At 44.1% G+C, this 13,209-nt stretch overlaps 1 protein-coding gene and 1 long non-coding RNA gene across 8 annotated transcripts in view, besides 3 other annotated features; one reads left to right on the forward strand and one right to left on the reverse strand.

Moving 5' to 3' along the window:
• TFIP11 (tuftelin interacting protein 11) overlaps positions 1-8,253 on the reverse strand; it is a 21,234-nt gene extending 12,981 nt beyond the window's left edge. The window contains exons 1-7 of one of the 7 annotated variants that reach the window (NM_001346857.2): positions 8,174-8,253; positions 7,879-7,955; positions 6,899-6,933; positions 6,397-6,482; positions 5,844-6,061; positions 2,555-2,708; positions 2,083-2,239 (exon numbers count right to left, since the gene is read on the reverse strand). In NM_001346857.2, the coding sequence (NP_001333786.1) occupies positions 2,083-2,239; positions 2,555-2,708; positions 5,844-6,052 (520 nt within the window). In that variant the 5' untranslated portion in view covers positions 6,053-6,061; positions 6,397-6,482; positions 6,899-6,933; positions 7,879-7,955; positions 8,174-8,253. Of the gene's footprint in view, positions 1-2,082; positions 2,240-2,554; positions 2,709-5,843; positions 6,062-6,396; positions 6,483-6,898; positions 7,098-7,878; positions 7,956-8,173 lie in introns of all 7 variants that reach the window. The other 6 variants (NM_001008697.3, NM_001346858.2, NM_001346861.2 and 3 more) reach the window with 6 other exon arrangements.
• Positions 1,860-3,059: an enhancer, noted in NCBI's record as "BRD4-independent group 4 enhancer chr22:26902046-26903245 (GRCh37/hg19 assembly coordinates)". NCBI's record gives its function as "activates an origin of replication core promoter dependent on BRD2, P300/CBP, MED14 and CDK7 cofactors, and independent of BRD4, by STARR-seq in HCT116 cells {active_cell/tissue: HCT116}" and the evidence as "EXISTENCE:reporter gene assay evidence [ECO:0000049][PMID:35650434]".
• Positions 8,136-8,315: an enhancer, noted in NCBI's record as "active region_18792". NCBI's record gives its function as "activates an Ori minimal core promoter by ATAC-STARR-seq in GM12878 lymphoblastoid cells {active_cell/tissue: GM12878}" and the evidence as "EXISTENCE:reporter gene assay evidence [ECO:0000049][PMID:35858748]".
• Positions 8,312-10,348, forward strand: TFIP11-DT (TFIP11 divergent transcript). The gene is made up of 2 exons (NR_144529.1): positions 8,312-8,814; positions 9,192-10,348. It is a non-coding gene; the product is annotated as a TFIP11 divergent transcript (long non-coding RNA).
• Positions 8,538-9,075: an enhancer, noted in NCBI's record as "H3K27ac hESC enhancer chr22:26908724-26909261 (GRCh37/hg19 assembly coordinates)". NCBI's record gives its function as "activates a minimal SCP1, AML or CMV promoter by ChIP-STARR-seq in naive H9 embryonic stem cells {active_cell/tissue: H9 hESC(naive)}" and the evidence as "EXISTENCE:reporter gene assay evidence [ECO:0000049][PMID:30033119]".
• Positions 10,349-13,209: the final 2,861 nt, after the last annotated feature.

Consider the following 13,209-nt stretch of genomic DNA (forward strand, 5'->3'; position numbering starts at 1 on the left):
ACATATTTTACTTAGGAGTTCCTATCTCCTGTGTTTAACTTTTTTATAACAAGTTTAAGCCCTGGAAATAAACGTTGTTTTTCTCATAAAAGAGTTTACGAATAGGACCACAACATTTCAATGAAGACGTTCCCCTGACTCCAAATTTTCCATCCCTGCCCCCCTTCCATTTAGTTCCACTGAAGTCTTAAATAAGAGCTATCCCTGGGCCAGATGTGGTGGCTATGCTTGTAATCCTAGCACTTTGGGAGGCCAAGGTCTTGAACCAGCCTGGGCAACATAGTAAGACCCCATCTACAAAAAAAGAAAAAATTAGCCAGGCACAGCAGAGTGTGCCTGTGGTCCCAGCTACTTGGCAGGGTTGAGCCCAGGAGGTTGAGGCTGCAGTGAGCTATGATCATGCCATGCCATTGCACTCTACCCTAGGTAACAGAGTGAGACTTTGTATCAAAAAAAAGCAAAAAAACTGTCCCCTCATTCTCATTCAGTGTATCTTTACTCAAGTTCATGTATTTTTCATGTACCTAATGTTTTCAACACATAACCTGGATTTCACTTTAATAATTATTTAGAGGCCAGGCGCAGTGGCTCACACCTATAATCCCAGCACTTTGGGAGGCCGAGGAGGATGGATCACTTGAGGTCAGGAGTTCGAGACCAGCCTGGCCAACACAGTAAAACCCTGTCTCTACCAAAAATACAAAAATTAGCTGGGCGTGGTGGCGGGTGCCTGTAATCCCTGCTACTCGGGAGGCTGAGGCAGGAGAATCACTTGAACCCAGGAGGTGGAAGTTGCAGATGAGTTGAGATCGTGCCACTGCACTCCAGTCTGGGTGACAAGAGTGAAATTCTGTCTCAAAAAATAATAATGTTATTATTATTATTTAGAGACTGGAATTTGAATATGTAGGATACATTTGATTATATCTACTTGGCAATCATGCATAGGAAATAGCTCAAGAAGAGGGGGAAATGTTCCTGTAGGAAGAATCCAACTGTTTGGTTTGAGAGGCTTTGGTCTCAAGAAGGTAAGAGTGTGACAGGGGCTGTGTCTCAATGGGGCTGGCCATGAGAAGACAGGAGGAGACTGGGCTACTAGAGGAAGATGGAAGTAACCAATGCAGGATTTGCTCAGCCAGTTTTATAGCCATATGGCTCTAGCTATTACAAAAACTATGCACGATGTTTTACTGATATTCCTGAAGGACAAATAGGGTTATTTCCACAAAATTAAAACCCTTGTGAGTAGGGATGGCAAACTCAAATGACTCTGGGACCAAGAAAAGTTCCTGTGGGTTGGGGTGGAAGACAACAGGGGGTAATGGAGACTGCCTCCAAGAGAAGGCCATGTCCATCGTCCCAGGAGCAGTTCTCACTTGCCTCAACTAACTACTGCCAGGCAAAATCTAGAATTTTAGGTGAAATTGTCTGTTTTTTAAATATTAGCAACTAATTCATTTTTGTTTTTATTTATTCTATTTATTTATTTATTTATTTATTTATTTATTTATTTATTCAGGGATGGAGTCTCGCTCTGTTGCCCAGGCTGGAGTGATCTCGGCTCACTGCAACCCCCACTTCCTGGGTTCAAGCGATTCTCCTGCCTCAGCCTCCTGAGTAGCTGGGATTACAGGCACATGCCTCCACACCCAACTGATTTTTGTATTTTTAGTAGAGACGGGGTTTCACCATGTTCATCAGGCTGGTCTTGAACTCCTGACCTCAAGCGATCCACCACCCGCCTTGGCCTCCCAAAGTGCTGGGATTACAGGTATGAGCCACCACACCCAGCCTCATTTTTGTTTTTAGAAGCACTGGTCAGGACCAGAAAAAAAGCCTGTTTTCAACCTGTTTGCAGCCTGTTTTAGACCCTAACCCTTTCCTTGCTGTTGAAACAATTACTTATTTAACTTGAGCTTTGATAAAGCAAGGTAGCTTAGGAACGCAAATGTCTTGTGCTGGCAAACCAGGCTGGAGAGATAAAGTGCTTTTAAAAGGGAAAAGCAAACCTCCTCTCCCAACGCCCCTCTCCTTCCCTATGCCTGCCCTCCTCCATCATGCAAGACGACAAAGGTGCAATACCTTGTGCATTCTTCCCGAGGCCCCGTCCAGGGACGTAGCCCATCTTCTGAAGAAGCTTCTGTCCAATTCCTTTTGTGTGTCTTTCCCAGCTGCCGAAGTCCATGAAAGATTTGGTTCCTCCTGCAAAACCTTTCTGGCTGGGCTTAAAATTGCCACCCTGCAAAAAAGAAAAATCAAAGCTTAGTTAATGGAAAAACAAAATGAAGAAAAATCTAAGAAAGCTTGGCCAACAGGAAAATGGCCTAAGTTATACAGCACTATGAAAAGTGTCATATGAACCAAAAATGTGTGTGATAACGTGTCAGGAAGGAAGAGACTGCACTACACACTTCACAACTCACAGAAACCTGCCACCAAAAGGAGACACTCACGAAATTCATTCCAGATGAGTTTCTCCCTGGCTAGAAAATGCTTGGGCCACAATGACCTTTGAAGGATATTCCTAGGGTCACAATCCTGCAATAGAGACTACCGTTTTTAGCTTCCTTGGTCCAAAATCCTTAGGAAAGTCGTCCTGCTTAACAGGTTTCTCTTCGTCATCAGAATCTTCCAACTCTGCCTCCTCCGCTGCCCCTTTCTTGAGCCCTGCGCTGATGAAGTTGACTGGCGCAGAGTAGTCACGGGCCCTGTAGGCACAGAAACAAAGCCCCACCAGGTCGGTAAAGAACTCTTTTCTCTGCAGCGATCCTTTTGCAGAAACTACGTGCTTGAAGACTCCTTAGAGTGAATCTCATGGGAGGTTTTTTAAAAAAGTAACACATTTTTTAATGTGTCAAAAAATCCAAAGGACCCCAGATTTGGCTTCCTGTAGTCACATTTAACATTTTACCTGACATATCCCTCTACGGCTGAAGAGTTATCACATCAATGTAGGGTTGATTACAAATTCAAAATATGATGTGATAATACAATTTTCCTACATTTTAAAAAATTAATTTATCATAAAAAGCAATTGTTTTGAAAACTATTTCAAGTACAAAAATCCAACAGGAGCAGAAATTTTGATGGAAAATCATAAATAAAACCCATTGAAAGATTATATGAATGTAAAGCATGTAACAATTATATTAATCAAACTTAGAAAAAGCTCCTAGCCATTAAATTTATTTGAATGTGAAAATTTCCAGCCAGGGCAACATGGTGAGACTTCGTCTCTATAAAAAAAAAATAAATAAAAATTAGCCAGGCATGGTTGTGCAAGCCTGTGGTCCTAACTACATGGGAAGCTGAGATGGGAGGATTGCTTGAGCCCAGGAAGTTGAAGCTGCGGTGAACTATAATCATGTCACTGCACCCCAGCCTGGGCAAAAGAGTGAGACCTTATCTCCAAAAAAAAAAAAAAAAGAAAAGAAAATTACACTAAAGTCCCCTAAGAAATAAGAAATTAACTCTATAAAATGAAATATATTGATTTAAACTCTGACTGCTTCAAGTACTTACATTAAGCCATTAACCTCAGGTCTTTTTTGTATAAAATAAAATTGATATATTTGTACTGTGTGGTTTAAAAAAGAAAAAATTACAATAAAAAACCCTGGAGCCAGGTACAGCGGCTCATGCCCATAATCTCAGCACTTTGGGAGGCTTGAGGCCAGGAGTTCAAGACCAGCTGGGCCAACATAGCAAAATCCTATCTCTAATAAAAATACAAAAAACTAGCTGAGTGTGGTGGCACACGCCTGTAATCCCACGCCACTCAGGAGGCTGACGCATGAGAAACGCTTGAACCCAGGAGACAGAGGGTGCAGTGAGCTAAGGTCACGCCACTGCACACTCCAGCTTGGGTAATAGAGACTGTGTTTCAAAGAAAAAAAGAAAACCTGGGAATACAGCAAATAAAGGGATGCCTTGTAAAATGACCAACCTAGTAATTCAACACCCTCAGGGCAACAACAGAATTTAGGGAGTTTTTTCCTAAAATTGTAATATAACTTAGTGATTTAGATCCCAAACTCTAGAGTCAGATAGGTCCAGGTTCCAATTCTAGCTTAGCCTCTGCCTAGTTGTATGACCATTAGCCTCAGTCTCTTAATCTGTAAAATGGGGACAATAATGGTACCTTTCTCATAAGGAAAATTAATCCAGGTTTATGAAATAGCCAGGACAAGTAAGCAGCCAAGAGATGTTAGCTATTATTATTATCTTATGATTATGCAATTCTTGTTCCCTGATCTATTTGTCATCCACTTTCAGACTTCCTTGTGGATGAGAAGTTTGGACTAATCTCTATACTCTTTCTCCCCCAGCCTCCTTTGAAAAAGGCACATTCTCAGCTGGGTGTGGTGGCTCACGCCTGTAATCCCAGCACTTTCGGAGGCCGAGGCAGGCGGATGACAAGGTCAAGAGATCCTGGCCAACATGGTGAAACCCCGTCTCTACTAAAAATACAAAAATTAGCTGGGTGTGATGGCACATGCCTGTAGTCCCAGCTACTCGGGAGGCTGAGGCAGGAGAATCACTTGAATCCAGGAGGCAGAGGTTGCAGTGAGCCAAGATTGCACCACTGTACTCCAGCCTGGCGACAGAGCAAGACTTCATCTCAAAAAAAAAAAAAAGAAAAAGAAAAAGGCACACTCTCAATAGGATAGAGCCTAGAGGCCACAGGTGAGGCCATGGAGGAAAAAACCCCCAACCTGGCACACCCTGGTTGAGTGAGGTTCAGCCAGGGCACACATAACCTTGTGCTGGGGAGAAGACGTGCAGCCTGAATCCTCATTGCCCACCACTATCCTAGACCAGTCCTCCACTACCTGTGCAGGGACCACTGGCTTGGCCTCCTCACAGTCTTCCACTGTGGCTCCATGCCTATTGAGCACACCAGCAAAAGGGTCTTCTCAAAACATAACCCAGCCCCACATCACACCCTCTCTATCACACACACTATGCTACCCTTCCCCCTCTCTGCTCCAGCCCCCAAGCCTTTCATATCCTTGTGGATACCGTGATGCTTCCCATCAAGGGCCTTTGCATATTGGGACCTCTTCTACCACCCTAGTTACCTTCTACTGTCAGTCATATCAGCTTAAGGGTCACTTTTCTCCACAGAAATCTTCCTTGACCTCTCAGAATAGATGAAATGCCCTAAAATGTGTTCTCCCTCATGTCCTCATGTCCCTCATGTCCTGCATCACAGTCACAAGTTTGATCGTCTGAGTTGTTAATGCCTATTTCCATCTTCTAATGTCTGGGCTCTAGGAAGGCAAGAATGGGTCTATAGCACAGGCCTAATACATAGCAATCGCTCAATAAACACTGATAATTAAATCAGTGAGGCCAGGCGTGGTGGCTCACGCCTGTAATCCCAGCACTTTGGGAGGCTGAGGTGGGTGGATCACTTGAGGTCAGGAGTTCAAGACCAGCCTGGCCAACATGGCAAAACCCCGTCTCTACTAATAATACAAACATTAGCTGGAGGTGGTGGCGTTTGCTTGTAATCCCACCTACTCGGGAGGCTGAGGCACGGGAATCACTTAAACCTGGAAGGTGGAGGTTGCAGCTAGCCAAGAGCACGTCACTGCACTCCAACCTGGGCAACAAAGTGAAACCGTGTCTCAAAAAAAATAATAATAAATAGAATAAATCAGTGAAAGAGCAGCACTCTAGCCTAAAGAGGAAACCAGACCTCTCGAGATGATGTCACAGCTAACAGTCTCAACAAGGCCAGGTGAGAAGTATACTTATCAGGGTATCTCCTCCACTCCCTGTCCATCTTCCCCCTCTTCCCTAAAGCAAGGTGAAGCAGCCCCCATGCCAGGCAATACCGTTTGCCTCCAAAGCTGGGCCTCTCATCATCCGAGTCTCGCTCTGCCCACACCCCGTAGGTGGCTTCTTCCTTGGTCTGCCAGTGGCGCTGTCGGTTGGGGTTGAACTCATTCTGGAGATCCCAGTCAGTGATCTCAAAGTTCTCCCGCTCGTCATCATCATCATCAATGCGGCCTTCCCCATCCCGGTATAAGTGGGACAATGACATGGCCAGTCACTAAAGGAAGAGACAAAAAGAGCACAGGCCGTAAGTCCTGGGGGCAGCAGTCGAAGGATTCCTTGTGAGTCTCTATTCCTTGCTGCTTTCAGAACTTTCTCCAAATTCAAAGTCCATTAAAGTCAGCATTACTATTCAATAAAAAAGATATTAAAAACCTACTTTTAGATAACAATCAGTACTAAAACAGGTGAACAAAATACTACTCCTAACAGTCTATGATTCTTTAAAAGTACATATCTCCTTGTCCTAGTCAATATCATAAATATCACACATATTCACACATACACAAACCACACAAAAATAACTAAGTAGGTTATTTTGTACATTATTACCTTAGAAAATGAGTAGGTATCTTCTTAGATCCCAGATTCTTTTTTCTATTACTGAGGAAAGAATTATATCTGGATCCTTGGTGGTCCTAGGAGAGTGATTTTTTTTAGAATATGCTTTTTGAAATACATTACTTGATGAAACAAAATTTTCAGTTTTCCTCACAAAACATGAATTTCTTCTGATGAACTGAAAGACTGTAGTAATTATGAACACTATTTTAATAGTCAGATGTCCAGAGATTGATATAGAGAATCTACCTCACAGTAGCTGGGTGACCAGATTCAGTTGTCTTTCTTAAATTGGGATTAACTACCATACCAACCTTAGAGAAGGCTTACAAAGCAAATTCAATGAGTTCAAAATAAGTGCTCAAGAAACGATAGCTTCTACTTTAGTCCCATGATTAGGTTAATCATTGTATTAGTCAGGGTTCTCTAGAGCGACATAACTAATGGAATAGACATACATATATAAAGGGGAGCTTATTAACTATTAACTCACACGATCAAAAGGTCCCACAATAGGCTGTCTGCAGGCTGAGGAGCAAGGAGAGCCAGTCAAGTTCCAAAGCTGAAGAACTTGAAGTCCAATGTTCGAGGGCAGGAAGCATCCAGCACAGGAGAAAGATATAGGCTGGGAGGCTAGGCCAGTCTCTCTTTTCACATTTTTCTGCCTGCTTATATTCTTGCCGTGCTGGCAGCTGATTAGATTATGCCCACACAGATTGAATTGAGGGTGGGTCTGCCTTTCCCCACCCACAGACTCAAATGTTAATCTCCTTTGGCAACACCCACATAGTCACACCCAGGATCAATACTTCGTATCCTTCAATCCAATCAAGTTGACACTCAGTATTTACCATCACAATCATCATTATTATTATGGGACTAGGGAGTAAACTTAGCAAAGTGACTGTAAAATCAGGCAGGCTAAAATCGAAGCCTGAGTTCAAATTCAACTCTATCAGATACCCAGTGTATGAGAATTAAATATGCACGTGAAGCGCCAAGCATGGTGCACTACACAATAATACACTCCATAGGTGACAGCAATTGTGATTCTTGTCTTGCTGAAAGCGGCCTTAAGGCACACGGAGTTCACTACTTCCACAGGCAGTGTCAAACTCTGGTCACCTCTGGCAAAACGTTATCTCTGCCTTCTTCTACTCACTGGTGCACCGGTTGGGTGCAACGGGTCCCAACCTCTTCCAGGAGTGTTTAGGACAGAAGGATTTTCAGAAAAGACGGGGAATCTCAAATACATAAAGTTAAATAATACCACTGCCTGCGTGGGCATAGTAAATGGTAATAAGCCCCGAGTAGTCACAAGTTATGAAGCCTTTATCAGTAGATGCTAGGTACATGCTGGTCGCTTGAGACCGATTATCAACTGTCTGCATCAAGACACTTCTGCAAGGTAGGTACCGTTAGTTTTCATGCTTCAGATAAGAAAAAGGAGGTTCAGAGAAGTTAGTAACTTACCCTAGGTTCCACTGCTCATAGGGCTCAAACTCAGGAGTGCTAGAAGTCAGGCCTCGGGCTTGTCTCTCTCTTGCTGTCTAGGTTTGGTGAAGGAAGCTCAGGTTCTTAAATGAATCCAAGCCCTAAATCCCAGTTGACCCCAAGCAGCACCGCCCCTCTCCGTGCCTCGGCAGAGCTGTCTACGAAATGGATTCCCCTCCCCACACCCCAACGGCTTGGACCGAAGCTCGCCTTCCCTGAGCCTTCGTCCCTACTCTCACTGGCGCTGAGTCCCCTTGTGGCCAGCCGTGCTCACCTGTCCGAGGGTCCAGCGTACCAAATTCAGCTTCACCATCCGCGCGAGAAGACGCCGCTCCTACACCAGAACCCGGAAGCACCGTGGCCGGCGCGCCGGAAATGACGTTAGTCGACAGCGGATGTCCTGCTGGCTGCCAGGGCAGCGTGGGACGCTACGGCGGATATGGCTGCAGAGCGGCCGGCTGGGATCTTAGATAGGAGGGGTGGATTTGCAAGGCCTAGAATAGCTGGGGAGTGGTTTCCCCGCGGAATCGGCCTCCCTGCCGCTCCTGCTTTGTACTGTGACGCTCAGCCTGTGATGACTGGTGTGGAATCCGCTGAGCCACCTTGGCCTAAGGAGACTTTACCACTCTGAGATTGTAAATCTGTAAAATAGAGATGTAGGATTAGCCCATACGGTAGTTGTGGTAAATACTGTGAGACAATAAGGGGCCTGGGACACAGCATTCAAATGGGAATAATGAAGGTCAAGACTGTGATTCCTGTATCTTTGACGCTCTCGGTATAAGCACCGTCGTGGGCACAGGGCAGTGGCCTTTATGCAGGAGTTTAAGAGGGAATGAAGGAATGAATGGGCAAACTCTGGAGTTCCCAAGTATTCTCTCCAGGAGCTGTTTCCATTCTTTTCGTTTCCAGCAGGTTGGTAAATTCATTAATTTATTCATTGATCTAATTAAAATATACTAAGTGCCCCTCACCTGTGCTAGGCCAATGTGATACAATGAGCAGAACAGTCATGGGCCCTCCCTGGGAAGCCCTCACTAGCCCAAGGACTCCTTGTAGACATTTAAGTGTCCACAGGCTCTGGAGTTCCAACCTTGAGTGCAATTTAGCAGCTGTGGACCTTGGGCAAGTCATTACATCTAAGCCTGTTTTCTCTTCTGCAAAATGGTTAAGGATTCAATAAGATAAAACTGTAGGCAATGAAAACCGTACCTGGTAACAGTAGGTGCTGAAGAAGTGTTAGCTATTAATTTTTGCTTAATTTTTCTCTCTCTGCTCTATGTGATGAAAAGATTCAAGAGGCAATTGTTGGAATGTAAAAAGAGCACGGGACTTGGAGTCAAATACTTAAGTCTACCATCAAGTAGTTGTTAAGAATTAAACAACAATTTTTGTGTACCCAGTTAAATGTGGGCTGCTTAGGAATGATGACTGTGTCTTAATGATCTCTGTATTCTTAGTGACATGTAGAATCATTGTGCCTGACACATAGTATGTACTCAGGAAAGAAATGGAAAATGTGGTTTTAGCATTGAAGGCCGGGAGAGAGGGTCTAACAGACTACAAGCCCTGCCAGGAGCAGAGTAAGGGAAACAGAGGAGAAAAGTGTTTTTAGTCTGTGCCTGAATGTATTTACATCTGTTTGTAGCCCAAAAGCCAAAAGCATACATACGCTTGGCTTTTCTGTAGCTATGTTTATGGCTTTACAGCAGATTTTATGGAGCTGCAATTACTTTGATCATGAGGGACTGATGCTAGTGGATTTACTTCACCAAATGGAACTCACTTTGTGGCTTCTGAAGAAGGGACCTTTGTGGACTGTCATGGAGTAGTTAAGAGTGCAGGCTCTGATTTAGTGATCAGAGTCTGCATTGTCAGGAATGGGACAAAGTGAAGTTATGTGGCACTTGATAGGATGCCCTGAGAAGATTGCAACATCACCCCTGTGATATTCCTGCTGAAGATCCATAACCTGGATGTAATCATGAGGATATATCAGACAAACCCACGTAAAGAGACATGCTGTATACAAAACTGTAATCTTAGAAAGTGCCAAGGTCATGAAAATCAAAGATAGACCCTGGAACTGTTCCAAACTGGAGGGGACCAAAGAGGCATGACAACTAAACACAACACATGATTCTGAACTGGATCTTTTTGCTTGAAAGGAAGTTACAGGGACAGTTGGAAAAGTTTAAATGGGGCCTACAATGCCGTGGTAATGATGTGTCCGTGTTAATTTCCTGATTTTCATGGTTGCCTGTTAAGTTACATCAGAGGATGTTCTTGTTTGCTGGAAAGTAAATCAATGTATTTGGCAGGGGATAAGGCATCAAATGGTCACCTTAATTTCAAATTATTACAGGGAAAATGTTTCTCTCTGTACTTAATAACTTTTTTGCAATTTCTTAAAATGAAAGCTCTGGAGTAAAAACTTCAAGGATCCAAATCTCGACTTTGCTACTTCTTAGGTATGGGCCCGAGGGCAGGTTGCTTCACCTCTCTACACCTCAATTTTTCCATCTGTAGATTGGGGATAGTGACAGTACTGATCTAAGAGAGTTGTTTAGAGAAAAACAAAAACAGAAAGTGATAATTAGTGCATGTAAAGCTCCTGGCATGGTAAGAGCTTTCTAAAGGATTGTGGCTATATTCTTATTTATTTATTTATTTATTTATTGAGACAGAGTCTCACTCTGTCGCCCAGGCTAGAGTGCAGCAGCACAATCTTCGCTCATTTGCAACCTCTACCTCCCAGATTCAAGTGATTCTCATGCCTCAGCCTCCCGAGTAGCTGTCATTACAGGCGCAGCTGTAGTGATTCTCATGCCTCAGCCTCTCGAGTAGCTGGCGTTACGCCGCCACGCCCAGCTAATTTTTGTTTTTTTATTTGTTTTAATTTTTTTTTCCCCCAGACAGAGTCTCACTGTGTCACCCAGGCTGGAGTGCAGTGGCACGATCTCAGCTCACTGCAACATATGCTTCCTGGGTTCAAGCAATTCTCCTGTCTCAGCCTCCTGAGTAGCTGGGATTACAGGTGTGCGCCACCACGCCTGGCTACTTTTTGTATTTTTATTAGAGATGGGGTTTCAACATGTTGGCCAAGCTGGTTTCGAACTCCTGACCTCGTGATCCACCTGCCTTGGCCTCCCAAAGTGCTGGGATTACAGGCGTGAGCCACTGCGCCAGCCTTCATTTTTAAAAACCCAATGTCATACCCCTTTCAGTCTCAAAAATCCATGGTTTTTCAGGATTTCTGGGATCAAATGCCCAGCCTTTGAAAAACAAGGAAAAGTTTTACAAGGCAACCAGAGCTTTAGGTTCAAGGTCTCATATCTATCGTGATCTCCTGTCATTTCCTAGAGGGGAAAAAAAAAAACAAAAACATTGCTTTGAGATTTGGGAACATCCACACTCATTTCTACATTCCCAATGAGGTGCTCAGACATGTGGCCTTCGCAGAAGGGGTTGCCAAAGCAACAAGGCTCCTTGGGCAGAAGGAGTCTGGCAGGGCCCTCCAGCACTCATGGGTCTATACCTCTCTTTTCGCAGCTGAGGCGGTGGGGGAGCCCCTGGCAGAGTGGAGGTGCCAGCACCACACAGTGAGTTTAAGGACAGGGCCAGGCCTGAAACCCAGGAGCTCAAACTCCCAGGCAGGTGCTTTCTTTGCAAAACCATGCATGGGGTCCCACATCATGATTCCTGTGTGTTCAGGGCCACAGAGCCAAACTCTGCAGACATCATCTCTTTGATTCTTCAGCCTTCTAAGGTAGTTTGTTATAACCCCAGAGTCCACATTCCTAACCTCTTATTTCTACAGCCTATGCCATACAGCACACTTTCCATATTGCCTACAAAAGATTTCGGGAAAAAAATATCGTCACTTAGTTACAACTTTAAATAGGTTGGTACCATAGAAACAATCCATAAGTGGCATTTCAAAGCTGATATATTTAAAGACTAGCACATGTACTTTTTCTAGGACAGTGACATTATACAGTTGCACATGGCTTATTCTTATTTTGCATTTTGTCCCAAAAATATATATGGTGTCCTTAACTTGGCAGAATTGAGAACCCAGATCAGCTGAGATTAGCAATTTGATTTCCCTCTAAATGTTTCTTACAGATGGTTTCTACCCTACTTATCTTTCAAGAATTCGTGAAGACTCTATCCTTATATGGAAAGCTGGAACATGAGGTTCCTTAGGCTCGGGGTGTTTATCTGGAAATTAAATATCCGCAAAACACAGTAAGGGGAGAAACCACAGCCTTCATCATTCATTTATTCATTTGTCATTAACAAATAATTAATGAGTACCTACATGTTATCTATTGCAGTATAACAATTACCTCCAAACGTAGCAGCTTGCAACACCAGTAAACATTATCTCACATAATTTCTTTTGGTAGGAATTTGAGAGTGGCTTAGCTGGGTGGTTCTGACTCAGGGTCTTTCATGGGGTTGCAGCCATCTGAAGGCTTGACCAGGGCTGGATGACCAACTTCCAAGGTGCTTCTCTCACATAGCTGGCAAACTGGTGCTGGTTGTTGGCAGGTTTCAGTTTCTTGCCATGTGAGCCTCTACACATGGTTACCAAGTGTCGTTATGACATAGTGGCTAGCTTCCCTCAAAATGAGCAAAGCAAGAGAGAGCAAGGCAGAAGCCACAAGGTCTTTTATGGCCTAGTCTTGGAGTCACACTGTCATTTCTGCAATATCTTTTTTTTTTTTTTTTTTTGAGACTGAGTTTTGCTCTGTCACCTAGGCTGTAGTACAGTGGCGTGATCTCGGCTCACTGCAACTTCTGCCTCCCAGGTTCAGGCAATTCTCCTGTCTCAGCCTCCTGAGTAGGTGGGACTACAGGCGCATGCCACCACACCCGGCTAATTTTTGTATTTTTATTAGAGACGGGGTTTCACCATATTGGTCAGGCTGGTCTTGAACTCCTGACCTCAGGCAATCCACCTGCCTCAGCCTCCCAAAGTGCTGGGATTACAGGCATGGGGCACCACGCCTGGCCCATTTTTTTATTTTCTTTATTTTTTATTTTTATTTATTTATTTATTTATTGAGATGGAGTCTCGCTCTGTCACCGGGCTGGAGTGCAGAGGCACAATCTCAGCTCACTGCAACCTCCACCTCCCAGGTTCAAGCAATTCTTCTGCCTCAGCCTCCCGAGTAGCTGGGACTACAGGTGTGCGTCACCATGCCCAGCTAATTTTTATATTTTTAGTAGAGATGGGGGTTTCACCATGTTGGCCAGGATGGTCTTGATCTCTTGACCTCGTGATGGACCCGCCTCGGCCTC

Source organism: Homo sapiens, chromosome 22, assembly GCF_000001405.40.
Source record: "Homo sapiens chromosome 22, GRCh38.p14 Primary Assembly".
NCBI classification, from domain to species: domain Eukaryota; kingdom Metazoa; phylum Chordata; class Mammalia; order Primates; family Hominidae; genus Homo; species Homo sapiens.